The sequence below is a fragment of the Homo sapiens genome, chromosome 13 (assembly GCF_000001405.40).
Source record: "Homo sapiens chromosome 13, GRCh38.p14 Primary Assembly".
Classification (NCBI taxonomy): Eukaryota; Metazoa; Chordata; class Mammalia; order Primates; family Hominidae; genus Homo; species Homo sapiens.
The window spans coordinates 112,065,394-112,084,690 of NC_000013.11; the positions used below are offsets into that span (position 1 = coordinate 112,065,394).

General features: G+C 50.2%; 1 protein-coding gene and 1 long non-coding RNA gene across 2 annotated transcripts in view, besides 2 other annotated features; both read left to right on the forward strand.

Moving 5' to 3' along the window:
- SOX1-OT (SOX1 overlapping transcript) overlaps window positions 1–19,297 on the forward strand; it is a 135,706-nt gene that overhangs the window by 93,084 nt on the left and 23,325 nt on the right. The gene's annotated exons all lie outside the window — the stretch shown is intronic.
- Window positions 1,756–6,313, forward strand: SOX1 (SRY-box transcription factor 1). Its single transcript, NM_005986.3, has one exon. It carries the CDS (start codon window positions 2,266–2,268, stop codon window positions 3,439–3,441), a length of 1,176 nt encoding a protein of 391 aa, NP_005977.2. The 5' UTR covers window positions 1,756–2,265; the 3' UTR covers window positions 3,442–6,313.
- Window positions 8,151–8,931: an enhancer, noted in NCBI's record as "H3K4me1 hESC enhancer chr13:112727858-112728638 (GRCh37/hg19 assembly coordinates)". NCBI's record gives its function as "activates a minimal SCP1, AML or CMV promoter by ChIP-STARR-seq in naive H9 embryonic stem cells {active_cell/tissue: H9 hESC(naive)}" and the evidence as "EXISTENCE:reporter gene assay evidence [ECO:0000049][PMID:30033119]".
- Window positions 8,932–9,712: an enhancer, noted in NCBI's record as "H3K4me1 hESC enhancer chr13:112728639-112729419 (GRCh37/hg19 assembly coordinates)". NCBI's record gives its function as "activates a minimal SCP1, AML or CMV promoter by ChIP-STARR-seq in naive H9 embryonic stem cells {active_cell/tissue: H9 hESC(naive)}" and the evidence as "EXISTENCE:reporter gene assay evidence [ECO:0000049][PMID:30033119]".

A 19,297-nucleotide genomic window follows, 5' to 3' on the forward strand; every position in this document is an offset into this window, starting at 1 on the left:
ACCTTGGACAAGCAACAGGGTCAAGAAATTCACAACCTCAGAAGTTTTTTTAAGAGGAAAAAAAAGGTGTCACGTGTTCGCTGCCCAACAGACTCAAACATCCTATTACTCCTATTACCGTTATCATCATCTTTACTGAATATTCCTACTACAAGACAGGCAGACATGTGACATGCGGTGAAGGTTCTACTTTACCCACCACCAATCTCCACAAGCACTCTCATCTCAGGGTGCCTCGGGGAGGGCAGAGGAGGAATACTTGGGCTCAAAAGTCGTCTTTGGACCACTTTCAGATCAGTCTGGTGGAAACGGTAGTGTGAGCGCTATGCTACTTGAGACTGCGTTTGAAAATCTCTTTCACGTTCCCAAATCAAAGCCACTTTGAGGTTTAAGAATGATAACCACAGGTGAATGCCTTACTCTTTCCACGAGCCAGGCCTTTCCTTTGCATGACGCAGACCGGCGGCTGAGACCCGTCCTGAGGCCCCGCCTTTCATTCGGTTTATGTGGCCCCGCGCAGTTCACGCAGTTTTCTCCGTTCTTAGGCAACCAGCTCGTGGGAAATTCACTCCAGAAAAGCGTGCGCCATATCATTATTTTGCGATTCAACAAACTTTTTCAACTGTTGTTCAGGAACTAGATTCCAGATAGATCTTGTTGTGTTCGGCCTTCCTAGAAATTCCTTTTCCAGAGGAAGAAGATCCGGGTTGGGAAGAGTGCGTGACTATGGCCCCGGGCTCATTGAAAGACTCCTCCCCACAAAAGTTTAGGGCTGATACTAAACGAAGCTATGGAGCCATGCCCACACAAATACTCCCCCTTTACCCGAATTGTGGGGCCTGGACTGTGAAGGCCTTCGCTGCAAGAGCGGGCACTGGCGAACTTCAGTGCACGCCGCGGCCGAGAACGGATGCAGGGCGGGGGATGGCTGAGCCGCCTGATCCTTGCAGAGAACCTGCAGGGGCCCTCGGAGGGTATCCCCTGCGTCCAAGGGAGCGCCCCTCCTTTTCAGCACTCGGGGGAACTGAGGGCGACGTGCCAGCCCCGCACTCAACTTTCCCCTTCCCTGCAGGCACAGAGTTGGCCGGCGGGGGCAGAGGAGGAGCTGGGTCTCCACTGCGCCCGTTTAAACCTGGCCAGGGGCTGCGTTTCCTCCCCCCACCCCACGACGATCCTTTCTTAGTCTTCGCTTTTCAACCCAATCGTTAATCATTCGGAACGCGCGGGCGGGGAGCGGCGAGGAGGGCGAGCTCGGGGTTCGCCGCCGCCGCCGCCGCCGCGCGCGCGCGCTCAGGAAGCGGTGTGGCTGTCACCCCCTCCCGGGCCTCCTCCCCCCTCCTTCCTGCTTTGCTCCCCCTCCTTCCTCCCCTCCTCCCCGCTCCGCCGCCCGCGCCCAGTGTATCTACTCCCTCCCCACGTCACTCGCCAGCGCGCCATGCAAATCACCGCCGCCGCCGGCTCCCATTGGCCGCGGCGCGCTCATTTAATGGCAGCCCGGGCCCGGCGTATGGCTGCTGGGCCCCGCGCGCCGCCGGCCCCGCGTGCGCCTCCGCTCCGAGCGCACGGCCCCGGGCAGGCAGCGGGCAGCCCATCCCGGGCTCGGCGGCCCCGGCTCTCCGGCCCTCTCCGCGAGCCCGCGCTCCTCCCGCTGTCCCCGGGCCCCTCCCTGGCTGCACCGTAATCGCCCCCTGCAGGCCCCCCTGCGCCTCCCCCCCCCCGCCACTGGCGCCTGGCTTCCCCCGGGCACCTGGGACCAGCACATGCCCAGCGCACGCGGCGCGCCGCCCTGCTAGAAGTTGCAGCCTCCGAGTTGGAGGCCGCTGAGGACCGAGCGCAGGAGGAAGGAGACAGCGCGCAGCGGCGGCCGGCGAGGAGACAGCACACCCCGGGCCGGGCCCAGCGCACCGCTCCCGGCCCCAAAAGCGGAGCTGCAACTTGGCCACGACTGCACCTGTTTGCACCGCTCCGCCGAGGGCGCCTGGGCTGCGGTGGCGGCGAAGACGGCGACCCCGACCGTCGGCCTCTTTGGCAAGTGGTTTGTGCATCAGGAGAAACTTTCCACCTGCGAGCCGAACCGGCGCCGAGTGCGTGTGTTTCTGCCTTTTTTTGTTGTCGTTGCCTCCACCCCTCCCCATTCTTCTCTCCGCTAGGACCCCCCCGCCCCCGTCTCACTCCGTCTGAATTCCTCTCCGTCTCCCTCCCACCCCGGCCGTCTATGCTCCAGGCCCTCTCCTCGCGGTGCCGGTGAACCCGCCAGCCGCCCCGATGTACAGCATGATGATGGAGACCGACCTGCACTCGCCCGGCGGCGCCCAGGCCCCCACGAACCTCTCGGGCCCCGCCGGGGCGGGCGGCGGCGGGGGCGGAGGCGGGGGCGGCGGCGGCGGCGGGGGCGCCAAGGCCAACCAGGACCGGGTCAAACGGCCCATGAACGCCTTCATGGTGTGGTCCCGCGGGCAGCGGCGCAAGATGGCCCAGGAGAACCCCAAGATGCACAACTCGGAGATCAGCAAGCGCCTGGGGGCCGAGTGGAAGGTCATGTCCGAGGCCGAGAAGCGGCCGTTCATCGACGAGGCCAAGCGGCTGCGCGCGCTGCACATGAAGGAGCACCCGGATTACAAGTACCGGCCGCGCCGCAAGACCAAGACGCTGCTCAAGAAGGACAAGTACTCGCTGGCCGGCGGGCTCCTGGCGGCCGGCGCGGGTGGCGGCGGCGCGGCTGTGGCCATGGGCGTGGGCGTGGGCGTGGGCGCGGCGGCCGTGGGCCAGCGCCTGGAGAGCCCAGGCGGCGCGGCGGGCGGCGGCTACGCGCACGTCAACGGCTGGGCCAACGGCGCCTACCCCGGCTCGGTGGCGGCGGCGGCGGCGGCCGCGGCCATGATGCAGGAGGCGCAGCTGGCCTACGGGCAGCACCCGGGCGCGGGCGGCGCGCACCCGCACGCGCACCCCGCGCACCCGCACCCGCACCACCCGCACGCGCACCCGCACAACCCGCAGCCCATGCACCGCTACGACATGGGCGCGCTGCAGTACAGCCCCATCTCCAACTCGCAGGGCTACATGAGCGCGTCGCCCTCGGGCTACGGCGGCCTCCCCTACGGCGCCGCGGCCGCCGCCGCCGCCGCTGCGGGCGGCGCGCACCAGAACTCGGCCGTGGCGGCGGCGGCGGCGGCGGCGGCCGCGTCGTCGGGCGCCCTGGGCGCGCTGGGCTCTCTGGTGAAGTCGGAGCCCAGCGGCAGCCCGCCCGCCCCAGCGCACTCGCGGGCGCCGTGCCCCGGGGACCTGCGCGAGATGATCAGCATGTACTTGCCCGCCGGCGAGGGGGGCGACCCGGCGGCGGCAGCAGCGGCCGCGGCGCAGAGCCGGCTGCACTCGCTGCCGCAGCACTACCAGGGCGCGGGCGCGGGCGTGAACGGCACGGTGCCCCTGACGCACATCTAGCGCCTTCGGGACGCCGGGGACTCTGCGGCGGCGACCCACGAGCTCGCGGCCCGCGCCCGGCTCCCGCCCCGCCCCGGCGCGGCGTGGCTTTTGTACAGACGTTCCCACATTCTTGTCAAAAGGAAAATACTGGAGACGAACGCCGGGTGACGCGTGTCCCCCACTCACCTTCCCCGGAGACCCTGGCGACCGCCGGGCGCTGACACCAGACTTGGGTTTTAGACTGAACTTCGGTGTTTTCTTGAGACTTTTTGTACAGTATTTATCACCTACGGAGGAAGCGGAAAGCGTTTTCTTTGCTCGAGGGGACAAAAAAGTCAAAACGAGGCGAGAGGCGAAGCCCACTTTTGTATACCGGCCGGCGCGCTCACTTTCCTCCGCGTTGCTTCCGGACGGCGCCGACCGCCGGAGCCCAAGTGACGCGGAGCTCGTCGCATTTGTTATAAATGTAGTAAGGCAGGTCCAAGCACTTACAAGTTTTTTGTAGTTGTTACCGCTCTTTTGGGTTGGTTTGTTAATTTATACAAAGAGATTACCACCACCACCCCCTCCTTCAGACGGCGGAGTTATATTCTGGGTTTTGTAAAACTTTATGTATCTGAGCATTTCCATTTTTTTTTTTGGGTTTTGTATTATTTCTTGTAAATGCATTGTGAAAAATTTTATTTTCGGCGTTGCAATGCGGGGAGGAGAAGTCAGATTATGTACATAGTTTTCTAAAAAGCCTTTCTTCTAAAAACGAAAAAAGACCCCCCACCCAAAATGTTTCGAGTCAACAAATTTAAGAGACAGAGCCCATTTTCTCCATAAATTTGTAACATGCTATTTTTATGTGCATGTTTTATGAGTTCAAAATGCAATGAGGAAATCTGACAGGGAAATTATCTGTATGAACTAAAAGTAAGGGAACCCCGGGGAATGGGAGGACAGGATTTTTCAAGGAACCTTTTTCAATGAAAGAGAAGGAAGTTAAAACCTATAGGTTATTTTGTAGAGCTGAGTGTTAATACGGGCCGAGAAATAAAAGTATCTTCTGCTCCGGCTGTTTCACTGCGGACGGCTGGGGCTGCTGCGCGTTACCTTGCTGCAAGCGGGGCGCCTTCCACCTGGCTGGGGGTCTGCGCCACAGTTTGGTCCAGAGGAGGGAGGAGGAAGGGAAGACCCCAGTGGTGGGACCCTGGACCAGGCCATGGATGAAGGACAAAGACCAGGGCAGGTCACGGGTTTCCCAATTCCCCAGCAATTAAGATTTCGAGCAGAATTTATCTAAATGTGTTTCAAGGAAACACAATCGCTGAACCAAAACGTACTGCAGCCGAGCCCCCTCCGTCCATCCTCTGCCCCTCCCCCTGGCTTCTTTCTCTTGGGAAAACGGGCAAAATAATTGTGCTGGATTCTCACACACACAGAAATATCGACCATCACCCTCCCCCGCGTGAACTGGGATGCAAGTTGCTAACCGATGTGAACGCAAAATGCCTTGTTCATTATTCCTGACGAGATCTTGAGGTTGTTTGATGCTTTAAATTTTTTAATTATATTATTTTCTAGGTGTTTATTGGTACATTGCAGTTTTTTTTTTGAAATTTAAAAATTTCTGTAAAACTTTGTCTTCAAGTAATCTGACAGCATTAAATATTGCATTTAAAAATTATACTGTAGCAAATACATTTAAAAATTAATCACAACGTTAAGATGAAATTATATTTTTGGAAAAAAAAAACACTTGAAGCCCAGATGGAAATACGTTTATTTCAGCAGCCTTAGGTTTCCCCTCGCTTTCTCAACACCCTTCCTTGTCCTGGAGTATGGACTGTCCGTCCAAAAGTGAGCCTATGCTATAAGTTTAATGAGAACCGAATTCAGCCTGCATTCGAGAATAGCTTTAAGTATAATGCTGATCTGACAATTGACGTGTAATTTGGGAAGTCATTTTGATAATTTTGCTTAAACCACTCATTCGTTAAAGTGATTACAAAAAAGTTCAAGAATGATGTCCACTGCTTTCTAACAAGATAATAAACCCCCCCCCTCTTTTCTTTTTCTTTATTTTTATTTCTTTTAGCTATTTGATCCTTTCTGAAGCAGTTGTTTCTGGAAGAGTCTGTGCGCCCATGGATGGCTGAGCACCACTACGACTTAGTCCGGGATAAGGGCCTCCCCAGTCCTCTCCGGGAGATGATTTGGGAAATTTTATAATGCTTGTTCTGTTAACTCACCGGGACCTTGAGGGTCCAATGGGACCTTGAGGGTTTTCTCTGAAATATACAAACTTAAAGGACTCTCTCTGAGGTTCTTTGACTGACGTCCACTCTCAGTCTGGCCCCTGTGCTCCCCTGTGTGTACCCTGGAGTTTCTGTGTCCAATTGTTGGCATCTAGGTCTTGGCTCAAGATTAGGATGTGGGCCCCACTTTAGAGGCACAGACTATGAAAAGCTGAGTTAGTGCGCCCGGGACGCCAGGCAAGCAGCTTTTACAGTTTGGCATCTTATTGCAGGTGCTTCGTGCACAGTCAGCTGAAATAGCCAATGCCAGGTGCTCCAACCACCTTATTTCCTTGTTTTGTTGATTAGAACAACACAGAAAAAAGCAAATATAAATTTTTAATGACTCCATTTAAAAATATCACAGGGTGGGGGCAAGGAAATTAGCTGAGATTCATCTCAGGATTGAGATTCTATCCCCCCTTCCCCGCCCCCAGCAGTGTCGCTCCAATTCAAATTAGTGGAGAAAAGATTACAGTAGGCCCTGAGCCGACTGTGAATTCGGTGCTTGGCCAAGGTAACACTCATCGTATTCACGGAGTGAAATACTATATGATGATAGTTATTATATTATATGACGACTTCATTCACTTCCCAAATCACAGGGTGGTGCTTCTGTCGCTTAGTCCAATTATGTTTGCAACCCGTGTAGGGAAGGCGGATAGGAGTCTTTGAGGCCTAGTGCAAAGTTTGCATCAGTTTCTGCGGGGGCGACAGTGTGACTTCGTAAATCTGCCATTGCGCTCGGGCCCTGCCCTCCAAACTGAGGGTAGGAGGGTTTACTTGAGGGTTTTTTTGCTTTGTTTTGTTCTGTTTTTGCCTTGTTTTGTTTTTCAACTCACCCGCCCCTTTTGTTGTTGAGATTTTGACGTCCCCTTCCCCGGAGAAACCCACCCGTAACGTACTAGATGGATTAGTTTTAAAGAAGACTCGGGCACAGCGTGATCTCCAGATGCGCGTCGGGAGCGTGACTGATAGGTCTATTAAAATCACGCGTGTGGGAGAACGGCACTCATGCTCCCGCGTTTCATTCCCCCGGCAAAGACTGGGCGCCGCAGATTTCTGTCTCCGGAAAATTCCAGTTAATTCAAGAAACCCATCCCCGGACGTGTGCCCGCCCCCCCCCGAAGGCTCGCTTCAGGCCAGCCCGGACTCCAGCGCCCCCTCGACCCCGTCGGGCTCCGGCCGACTCCCGCCCCCTCCCCACCCACGCTCGGCCTGGGCCCGGGGGCAGCGGCTCCAGAGGCGTCGGCGGCAGAATTTAACCCCCGGTCTGAGTCCTTGGAAACTTCAAGTGAAAAGCAGACTTGGCCTTGGCGCGGCTCTCTTTCCAGCGTGACTATCTGGCGAGACTGAAAGGCCAGGCCAGATGGGGAAAAGTGAGCGGGGTGCGGGCCCCCAGTATCCGGCGGGGTGGGGCGGCGTCAGGACGGAGCGAGGGCCGGCGGGGGGGCTCGCGTGGAGGCCCAGGCCGGGAGGTGGGGACGCAGGGACCCCTCACCCAGTCCTCTGCTCCCGCCCGAGCCAGGCCTCGGGATCACCTCCCCTTGCCTGAGGGCGAGCTCTCCTCCTCCCTCTTCCTCCCCGCCTCCCCCGTTCTTCCCTCCCTCTCTCCCTCCTCCCTCCCCGGCCCTTCCTCTCCAGCTGCGCGCCCGCCGGGACCACGCTCCTCCCGCCCCCGGGAGCCGAGCGGCGTCTGCGGCTGGTCCGGACGTGTCCCCTCCGGGCGGGGGTGGCCGGGCCTCCTCGGGGCCTCGGGCCTCCCGGGCGCACCCCCCTGCCTGCGCCTCTCCAAGTCGCCCTTTCTCCGGCTCTGCCCGCGGCTGAGCCCCGCACACCGCGCCGCTGTCCTTGGGGTCCCGGCACACGGCGTTCCCTCCCCGCCCCCGCCATCCACTCCCACCGCCTCTCCAGTCCCTGTGCCGTCTCCACCGCCCTCTGACTCCCGCACCGAGCTGCGTCTCCGCCGCCGGCCTCTCTCAGCGCGGCCCGGCCTCCTCTTTGTCTTTGAAGCTCCCCCGCCGAGGCCCGCGCGCGGCTCCCCTCTCCGTCCCTCTCCGGCCCTTGGGCGCCCAGTCGGAGGTCGGGGCGGGATGGGGCACGAGTCTCGGGGCGGCCCGCGCTCCCCCTACTAGTCCCCTCATTGCCTCGGCCCCGTCCCCGCAGCCTCGGGGCGGGAGGGCGCAGGGGTCCCCGGGCGCCCTGGGAGCCCATCTCCCTCAGGTCCGCGCCGGTGTCAGCCGCCGGCGGGGGGCGGGTGGAGATTAAGATGAGTGCTGCGAGGGACGGGGCCGAGGGTTTTGTGTAGAAGGAGAGCAGGATTAGTGGAGAGAAAGTGCTGACCCGGGGTCAGCCGCAAGTCAAACCCTTTTACACTCAGCCGGCGGAACGAGCACGGCTCGGGCCGGACGGCAACAAGTGGGCGCGAAGGGAGGGGGAGGGGAGGCCGGGTACCGGCCGGGTCCGGCGTGAGAGAGGGGAGGGGGAGGGGACGCGGCCACAGCGCCCCAGGGCCTCAGCGTCATCGGGGACGGGCGCCGAGGGGAGCGCGCACCAGCGACCCGGGCGCGGACTGGGGCCTGCAGGGCGTGACTGGCTGCCCCCCAGGACTCCATCTCCTTCATAAACACCTGCCTTTTCCATTCCCCGGGGCCGCTTCGGCTGCTCCTCTGGAGGGAAGACTGGGGAGAAGGTTGCCTGCGCTCTCTGCCCCAGAGGCTCTGTTTTAGAAACTGTTTCTTAATTTCCATAAGAAACAAAAAAATCACAGGAAGGCCTGGTTCCTCTCCCGGACGACTGCGTCCCCAGGCTCTCCAGGAATCTTCGCCTTATCCGAGCTTCTTCGCAGCCCTGGATCTATTTCTGGGGGGCGTGTGTGACGCAGAATCGGGGTATAAAATATCAATGCTGTTTGTCACGACACCGCTTTCTCCACCCGGGCAGAGCTGCGGCTCCCGGGCGTTGCGCGTGGCGTTTTTCATCACGGAGGGAAAGCCGCGGCTCCGCGGGAAAGGAGTGAAAACCGAGTGTGGGTGAAGAGGAGAGGGAGGTCAGGGGGCAAGGGAAGAAAGCAGATAAATGCATCTTCCCTAGCAGCCAAGCTGGAAATTTGTGCTGAAAGTACAACAGCAAGAGTTTTCACATGAAAAACACGTGAAGAACCCGAGCAAGTGATAGATCCAAAGACGGAAAATGATCGTCTATTTTGATAGTAAAAATAAAAAGAACAGAATTGACATATTTTCGTCTAAATTACTTTTCATCTGCCGATATGAAACACCAACACTCAAACAAAAACAAAGGACAAAGCAGTTTTTAAAAACAACACAAAACAAGCAACTCTGAGTGAATGACCTGTCCACAGCTTACCCTGGGTGACATGGGGGCGCTGTGATGGAAAATGGGTTCTGGGTTCAAAATCAAGCCACAGAACGCTGCCTGGCGAGTTGCTAAGTGTGACTTGTGGGGAAATCGTGTCTGCGGCAGAAACACTGGACCTTGTGAGTAATTCCCGATGCCCGGTAGGCAGCTGGCGAGGCTGTAATTGCCCTCGGCCACTTCAGAGCAACCATGTGGGTGCATTGAAGACGTTGTTTGTGGAGAGCAGCAGGTCATCACATGCAAAGCCCTGAAATAGTCAGCCAGTCAAATCAGTGGAAAAAATCCGCTTTTGTTAGATTTTGCAGTTTCAGGAATTAGGCATTCACTGCAGAGCTGCAGTTTTGAGAAATTGCAATGTCAGGCATGTTCCCAATGGGGAAATATTGTGAGTGTGGAGGAACGTGAGATGGGGTTTGACAATGGGGAGACTGACAAGAGTCATCACCCAGACATTGTTTTCTCTCTGAGCACCCCGGAAATGCTAACGAGAGATGATATTTAGTGGCAGCAATAGCACTCTGCGCTAGTCCTATGCACTCCTAAGACACAGAAACGAGTCTCGGGCAGCTAAGGAACTGACCTGGGATTTCCCAGGTCAGGATGGGTCCCTGGAATTTGCAGGGCAGAGGTGCCTTCTAGGTACCTAGAACCTAGAAACATTAGACTAGTGGTGTCAGGATCAACCTGAAAAAATTCAAAGCAGAGGCCAACGTATCATTTTCGTTCTAAGTAACAGAACAGAAGGAAAGCCAGGTGAGCAATATTTTAACCTCAGAAAGGGTTTAGCAACCCCGTGTTTTAGGTAATTCAAACTCCAGTGGGACATTTCAGTAAGTGGAAAAGCCTGAACTTCAGTGGTGAGAGTGTCCAGGTAGATGGAGAAGCAGAAGCCAGCTCTTTATGTTAGAAATTGAACTGAAGAATGAAGTTTCCTTGTAAAAACTGGCCGTTTTCACCGTGTCATGCAGGCCAGAGATTAGCTCTGTGTCCTTGGGCAAATGTCCTTACCTCTGAGTCCATTTCCTCAGATGTAAAGCAGAAATTACAAAACCAGCTTCCCAGGGATGCATCATCTAAGGTGCATGCAGGGCCCAGCAAATAGGAAGCACTCGCTCCAGAATCATCTGGAGTGGAAGCCCGTGTGAGCTCAGGGCACGTCCAATGGACAATTGGGACATTAAGTGCCAGATCTGCCCTCGGCAGGAAACAATGGAAATGATACAAACCACAGTCTTTCCATGTATCCATATTAATAGTGATTTCTCTGTAAAGTTGCTTGACAGTTACGACATTCGTTCTTTCATCTGTTCAACAAGCATTTATTACAAGTTTGTTACGTGTTCAAGTTGAGTATGAACACATGCTATGTATGCAACCTGTGTCCAGGTGCTGAGGATGCAAAGATCAACCCGACAGGGCTCACCATCTGGTGGGTGAGACTGATGATCACACAGGCAAGTATGATGTCGAGGGTTATGGGTGTGGGACACAGGCCCATGCCAGATGCTCAGGTAGGGTGCTCTGGCCCAGTGTATGAGAACCGAGGAAGGTTTTGCAGAGGAGGTACACCCACGGTGGAGCCTGTGACTTCCTGGTGCTCCAATAAATACTCCCTCAGGTGGCCTTCCCATGAGATGTGCATGTTGGATGTTCTTTATCAGTAGATACAGATTGCAATGTAAATTTGAACAGAGTGTATGTGATAGTTGCTTTGTTTTTTAATGAATGATTGCTTCGGATTGGTCTTGGTGGTCAAAGATTGAAACTCAGAGGTTTGCAAGGGCAATGGTCTTTCAGCATCAAGGTGCATGGGATCACTAGGAGAGCTGGCTCCAAATTCAGGTTCTCAGACCCAGTGCCGCTGGTAGGCTGCTTCTGGGGCTCCAGCGGGCCTCAAGGATCTGCCCTTTCTTAGACACACTTGGGGGAGATTTTGAGGCCAGTCCTGGATGACACTTGGGAAACCCGTGTTAGGAGATGGGCCTATTTTTTTTTTTATGGTAAGTAGCTACTAAGACTACATCATTTAAATTTGAGTAGCTATTTATTATTTATAAAGTGCTCTTACTTAATTGTTCAATTGAGATGATTTTTGAAAAAAATTAAATTAGTGGAAGACTAAAAAAAATTTTTGAGCTGAATTATTAGAATCTTCCTAATAGAAAAGACTGATGTACTGATTTTAGTTCCATTTTCCTACGGGTTGTGTTAGCTGCCTGTAAATACATCCTAACTCTCCTGAAGTGCAGTCAGTGTGGAACAAGGGAAGCAGAAACCACATGTGATCTTTGATTTAAAGAAAGGTTGATTAAAAGGACTACACACAGTCATGGATTGTGTCTCATCAATTTCTAATTGTAACAAACTAATTTGTATGTAAGTAGACTGGCTCTGTGCAATCCTTATGAATACAATATAGGCCAAAACACTCATGTTGTTGAGGGTTATTTTAAGGACCTTTGAAATGTCAGAGAAGGGCCATGTAATAGTGCCGCAACAGGGTTGAACTGCCTCTGTCCAATAGATCATAACTATAATAATAATGATGATATGGTATGTAGCTACTGAATTTCTCGATAGTATCATCTGTAAAATGGGAAGATCTTATTAGAAAGGCTTGATAGAATAAGTACTTCAGATTTCTTTGAGACAAAGGGGTTATGCAAATAGAAGGGGCTAAACAGAATAAATTATTGTGTATCAACAGTATTTTATCTACAAAGCATTTAATTTGGCATTATGGATGTTACCATACTGCTGCTCATAATGAAGAGAGCATTCATTATATTTCTAGATAGAGATACAGATTAGGGGATGGTTGTGGAGGAACTCATTCTCTGTTTGAATAGCATGTAAGAAAAATAAATTTTAAATAAGAGAATTTTACAAATATTTTAAAATTTAAAATGTTTATTTAGAAGAGATATATTTTAGTTTTTCAAACTGAGAATAATGCTTTAAATATGTTCTTAATTTTAAAATACTGACCGTGAAATTTGGATAACAAACCAAGTTATTTACTTACTTGGGAATTATATAAAATTATTGAAATGTTTTAACCAACACTTTATTATTTGAAAATGAATATATCACCTGTAGCAACTATTTGCAGAAAAATAAAATTATATTTAAAATCACAGCTCAAATTAAATCATGCAATTGCATTAAGATATAATAAAAGCAAAATGGATCATTTTAAATCAATCTATAAACTAAAAGCTCAATACCAATTTGAATAACATGTTTTTACTTAATTTGAGCCAATTCTGATGATATTAAATTAGGTTTGAGAAAAACAGAACATTTGCAATAACATTTTAAGGTGATTTCATCACTTGAGAATTTTTTTCAAAACTTAACCAAAGAAGGGCCAAGGCCCCATGCCTGCCCCTGCAGCCCCTGCCGCAGCGAGTCCTCCTCCACTGGGTGAGTGAAGCCTTCCCCCCTGTGGAATGTGTCCTGAGGCAGCGGTGCTCCTGGGTAGAAGCACATGGAGGCAGGTCCCCCCCTCATCACCTGGCCTCCCCAGGCACAGCAACTGTGTCTGGCTAGACTTTTAAAGTTTTTATTTCCAGAATCAGCACAGCCCTGGGCACATAGCAGAGGGGCAATAAATATTTACTGAGTTTAATTCAGTACAGCAGGGCAGACGCAGGGATCCCAGAGCCAACACAGGGAAAGGCTGGCCCGTGTCGGCCCAGGGAGTCCCTCTGTCCCTGTGGACATGGGACCAGCCTGTCCTCATGAGGGGGCCGTGGACCCCAAAGGCTCTGTCACAGAACACCAGGAACGTCAGTCATTGCCCAGCTGAGGCTGCTGTTGCTGTGGTTATTAAGAGACAGAAAGCGCAGTCCGGCGCCCAGAGATGAGGGGCTGGAAAAGCCGGGGAGATAAGCAGCCTGCTCCCGCTGCATGGCGGGGCGTGGGCCCCTGCTCAGGTGCAGGAGAGCTGGGGAGGGTGCCTGAGCTGCTGCGGGAGGAAGCCACAGGGCGGGGCGGGGGTCTGTGTGAGGCCAACACTGGACCTGGGACTGCGGGCCAGGGAGCCCGCTTTCCAGCCCTGAATTCCCCGGGACCTGCTGCATAATTCCCCACGTAGTTTGGTGCAAGGAATGCTTGTAGGTTGTGCTGTTGTGTTGTATTGTGCTGTGCTGTTTTGTTGTATTGTATTGTTACACTATGTTGCGTTGTACTGTGCTGTGCTGTATTGTGTTATGCTGTTTGGTTCTGTTGTGTTGTGCTGTATTGCGCTGTGTGTTGTGTTGTGTTGTGTTGTGCTGTATTGTGCTGTGCTGTGCTGTGTTGTGTGCTGTGTATTGTGCTGTGCTGTGTGTTGTGCTGTGCTGATGTGCTGTGTGCTGTGCTGTGTGTTGTGTTGTCTGTGTGTTGTGTGCTGTGTGCTATGTGTTGTGTTGTGCTGTGTGTTATATTGTGCTGTGCTGTGTTGTGCTGTGTGCTGTGTGTTGTGTTGTACTGTGTGTTGTGTTGTGTTATGCTGTGTTGTGTGTTATGTTATATTGTGCTGTGTGCTGTGTGTTGTGTTGTACTGTGTGTTGTGGTGTTGTGTTGTGCTGTGCTGTGTGTTGTGTTGTGTTGTACTGTGTGTTGTGTTATGCTGTGTTGTGTTATGTTAATTGTGCTGTAGTGTGCTGTGTGTTGTGTTGTACTGTGTGTTGTGTTGTGTTGTGCTGTGCTGTGCTGTGTTGGGTCCTATTATATTAAGATAAGGTGCACAGGGCTAGTTCAGGCACACAGAAAGAGCAGGCCAGGCAGGGAACAGGCAGCCCCACTCCCTCCCCCAGACTGAAACCAGAACTGTGAGGGACCCTGCTGGGCCACACTCTGGCTTTGTCATGGAGCCATTAGGAGGCCTCTGCGGGGCACACCATGAGACAGAATCTTGACGTAGAAATAGGCCCACAGCTAGTCCCACCTGCTCTGCCTCCGGGGCCGGGTTATGATTCCACTTTGTGCCAACCCTTGCTGCAGTGTGGATTTGACTGTGTTACTTGCTTGGATATTTGAAATATACAAACCTAGGAATTTATTTTTGATAATCAGAATGATTGGTGTCAGCACAGTGCAAAAGCAGCAAAAATAGATAATGTTATATCAATTATGTCACCCTTCCCTGGTGACAGGGTGGTGCCTCGGGACCCACCTCAACCTGGTCCGTGATGCCTGTGGTTTCTCAAACTGTGAGCCAAGGAACCCCAGAGCCCCACAAGCTCAGCATAGCTTTAAATTCTGAGGGAAACAGCAACGCCGGCCACTTCCCAGGCCCTGTGAGCTAGCTGGAGGCAGTTTTAGACTTCACTTCCCAGGCCCTGTGAGCTAGCTGGAGGCAGTTTTAGACTTCTCTTCCCAGGCCCTGTGAGCTAGCTGGAGGCAGCTTTAGACTCCCAGGGTGAACTTGCAGCTACACTCCCTGGATGACATCATATCTTTGTGAAACTGGGTTCTTGGCAGTTGCTGTGTCAAAAGCAATTCCTGTGGGAAAAGTGCAGACCAGGAAATGCAGGGTTGGGCGGAACCAGAGGCAAGGCTGGAGAGGCCGTGCGGCTCAAGACAGGCACGTGCAGACCACCAGTATGCAAGGCTGGTGTGCAAGAAGTGAGGTGAAAATAGTATTCTTTATTTCAGTCTATATGTGTCACTTTAAAAAATGACTGCTACGTTATTAGAACAGAAATATATATGAAGTTGTTTGAAGTTAACTATTTAACAAACAGAATAGTTAGGCATTTCAGCTTGGGGCACTGTAAAAAATCCCTGGGGGTGCTAAGGGTGTTATGAAAACCTATACTATTCAAATTGATATCAAACTTGTAGCCAACAGATTGATGTAAAATTATCTATTTTTGCCTACATTTTGTGTTTATGCAATTATACCATTTAATTGAAGCTGTGGTTTTGAATACAATTTTAGCTTTTTGCAAATAGTTGCTACAGGTGATGTGTTCATTTTTGAATAATAAAGTGTTGGCTTAATTATTTTAAGAATTTTATATAATTTTCCTTCGTGTGGATAATTTGCTTTGTTATCCATATTTCATAGTCGGTATTTTAGAATTGAGACTACATTTCTAGTAGTATTCTCAGTTTAAAGGCTGAAATAAATTTTTTTTTTTAATGAGCAAGAAAGCTTTTACGTTAACATCTTACTCAGATTAACATAACCAAATTTAAATCTATGCAAGTCAGACAGAATTAGAGATGGCAGAATGCTAGCATGTGCGCTCACGTGCTGAAGAACTTCTAAACCGTGTCCATCAGCTTGTCGCCTATTTTGGTCACAGATGCTCCCCATGCCAGGATTTCTACGAACTTTCTAAAGAAGATGCTTAGTCTAATAGTTTTGACCATCAGCAAAACTGCTCTAAGAGTTACCCTAGATTCTACCTTTCTATTTCATTAACTCTCCTAGAAACAATTCTGTTCCAGTACATTCTTTCTTTCTTTCTGGGTTCAGAGTTCTCTTCTCTCTAGGAAAACCATCAGGTTACACAGTGTTTGTAGTTCCGAACGTCACGGGCGGTTATGAGGGACAGTTGATGTGTCCCACCAGCAGCAAGACTGTGAATTGTACATGACGGTGACAGAAATGACCAGTCCAGTCCATGTGCAAAGGCAGGAGTTTACAAAGTAAAGGGGTCAGTACTAATTGATCACTGGCACCCTGAAACCACAACTTTTCATTCACCTTTTTATTTTTTTGAATAATTATTTTATCTTATATGTTCATCAAATATATATGTATCTGGGGAAAATGCTCCCTTTGAAAATGATAACTTTTAGTTATACATGTTAAACTACTTTTTTGAGACAGGATGTTGCTCTGTTGCTCAGGCTGGAGTGTAGTGACACCGTAACTGCTCACTGCAGCCTCTGGGGCCCAAGTGGTCCTCCCACCTCAGCCTCCTGAGTGGCTGGGACCACAGGCACACACCACCATGCCCGGCTAACTTTAAAAAAAGTTTTTTTTGTTTTGGCTGTTTTTTGTTGTTTTTGTTTGTTTGTTTGTTTGTTGTTTTTTTTTTTTTTTTTGTAGAACAATGTCTCTCTATGTTGCCCAGGCTGGTCTTGAACTCCTGGGCTCAAGTGATCCCCCTACCTCAGCCTCAAAATGTGCTGAGATTACAGGCGTGAGCCACCGCATGTGGCCAAAGGCATTCTATTATTTTAAAATTTACTTTCTTATTTTTTTCTTGTTGAGTAAAATTGAGAAAGACTGAGGAAAATATGGGGCAGCAGTGAGAGAAGGAAGTGAACGAGAGCAAGAAGGTGATTTACATTTTAGCCAGTATTTCACTGGACCCCAATTTGAGCAAAAAATGAAAGACATCAGGCTTCCTTACCTGTTGTTACCCATGCTCAGTGAAAAGGCATAAAAATAACCTTCGACAACCTTATGCCTATTGAAGTCAGAACCCTGTAGTGTAGTCATTTAATTGCATTTGTATTAGATGTGATTAAATATTTTAGTTGTATGTATTCATCACAATGACTGGACGTTAGAAATAAATAATTCAGGCCAAGAAATACATGGAACGTTAAGGAAGTTATTAGAAGCAAGGGATTACCTACAAGCTAGAAGTGAATCCAAAGCAGGGTCAGAGATGGGTCACATTGGAAAGACCAAATGTTAGAAAGACAAGGAGATTTTGGTGATGAGGCCACCCTATCCAGAGAGATGCTGCTGCAGAGTTGATCAGGGCTGGAAAGCATGGATCAAAGATGAAGAGCAAGTGTTAACAGCCTCTCCTTATGCTTTCAAAGGATTATTTTAGGAGGATTAAGTTAGGAGACTTTAACCTTCCCATGTGTACTAAATGGGGCCTCACTGTGTTAGTTTCTGGGGGCTGCCGTAATAGTACCACAAACTAGGTGGCTTTAAAAAAAGAAATTTATTCTTTCACAGCTGTGTAGAGAAGTCCAAAATCAAGGTGATGGCAGGGCTGGTTCCTTCTGAAGTTGTGAGGGGGTCAGTGCCAGGCTCCCTCCAGCTTACAGTGTTGCTGGCATCCTCAGCATTCCCTGGTTTGGGGACACGTCACCCTGATTGCTGCCTTCACCCTCACAGGGCTTGCTCCCCGAGTGCATGCATGCCTGGTTCAAGTGCCCCTTCTTTCAAAGGACAACAGGCGATGGATTAGGGCCCACTCTAATGACCTTGTCTTGACCTGTTCATCTGCAAATACCCTATTTCCAAATAAAGGCACATTCAAAGGTGCTAGGGTTAGGACGTCAACATTTTTGGGGGAAACACCATTCAAGCCATAATGGGTGGTGATTGATAATGACACTGAGTTTTCTTGCCTAGTAAATAGTCCATATTCTAAAGGCCTTGGTACTGCTGAAAAAAGAAGTAGTTTAGTGTTTCATGAGCTTTTGAATACCCTTACTATCCCCTAGACCTGTTTGCAAACAGGAGCTTTTAATACGTATTCCTACCAACTGGTTACCCTCTCAATGACCTTGAATCTATCCTGAATTAATCACCTACATCATGGCACTGTAGAAGCCACAGCAGGTCAGAGGGGACTTACTTCTTGTTGCCATGTTAAGACAGCATGTAGTGGCCACTAATGTGAATTCTACTCCAAACAACACGGTCCCTCCGTTACAGCAGAAAGGAAACTGAATAACCCTCAGATGCCACCTGGGAGTTATTTTTATTTTTACTAAACCACCTTTACCCCTTCGGAAGAATGCAGTGCAATTCCATGCAGTTCACATAATCTCATACTATCCCCACTACATCTCTGAGATGTATAGTTATTCCCCTTTTTATAGAGTGAGGAGACTAACAGGGGTTAAGTAATCTACCAAAGGGCATATTATCAATGAACAGAAGATTCAGGATCAGCCCAGAGCTGACAGACTCTAATGCTAATAATATAATCCATATGAACATTTCTTTAGAAGGCAAACAGTATCATAGGCTCCCAAGGAAAACAGCAGACCCACGCTTTGTTCAAGCCCATCCCTTGGACCCATTCCCCAGCAGCAGCTTCATAGAATTCTTTTGGCATTCTTCTCACATATTTATCTCCATATTTCTGGATTATATGTTTGTATTGCTTATTCTTGATTTATTAATTGTAGACATCATCTATTCAGACCTTAGCAGGACTATAAAGCTATGGTGTTCTTTCACATTCTTTCCTACTCCCGTCTTTCCCAAAGTAGGTACATCATTGGATTTTGTTAAGTGAATGCCAGTGTTTACCTTATTTTGAATGTAGAAGTATTGTTCATGGCTGAGCCCAGTGGTAAACAATAACATTTCCATTCTTGGGAAACTGTTCTTTTACCTAAAGTTTTTAATGGTCTTGTTTTGTGAGAGTTGATGTTGTTCATCCTTCGGTTTTCTACGGTCCTATCACAAATTCTTTCCAAATTCTGCATCCGTATTAGTAAACACCTTTAAATAGTATGTCCTGCAAGGTTGAATACATCAGGGACTTCATCAGCTCAGCTTCTTCTTGCAGCCAGGCCTGGGGGGCCTCTGTCCCCTTGCTGCATGGTGGTTATTGTCACATTTCATGTCATCTCTCTGCCACGGATCTCCCATTTTCCATATCCATGTTTTTTCTTGCTGGATTTCCTTTCTTGTTTTGGTAAGTTATGCCTTCTAATAGGCTGTACAACCCTAGAGTGATAGTTTAGCTAGGTATAGAAATCTAGATTAAAAAATAATTTTCCCTTGTGATTTTATCTCCAACACATGATGTTGCTTTTGAGCAATCTGTACTATTTGTGTTTTACACCTTACTGAGGGATACTTGATATGCAATAAACTGTACACATATACCATAAACAATTTGATACAGCTTGACAAATATATATACCCATGAAATTATCATCACAATCAAGATAACAAACATATCCATCACCGTCAAAAGTTCACTTCCCTTCTTTGCAAACCCTCTCTCTTACCTCTTTCCACCTGCAAACAACCACGAATCTGCTTTTTGTCAGTATGGATTGGTTTGCATTTATTAGAATTTTGTATACATGGGATTTTATAGTGTGTGCTCTTTCTTGTCTGGCTTCTTTCACTTAGCATAATGATTTTAAGAGTAATCCATATATAGCATGCATCCATAGGCCATTCCTTTTATGGGTGAGTATTCTGCTGTAGGGAGAGACAGTTGTTTATCCATAAGTAATGTCCTTCAGTCAACCAGCCACATCTCCAGTGCTGA

Excerpts from the sequence above, each read along its gene's own strand:
- SOX1 (NM_005986.3), top strand. The coding sequence starts at position 2,266 with ATGTACAGCATGATGATGGAGACCGACCTGCACTCGCCCGGCGGCGCC.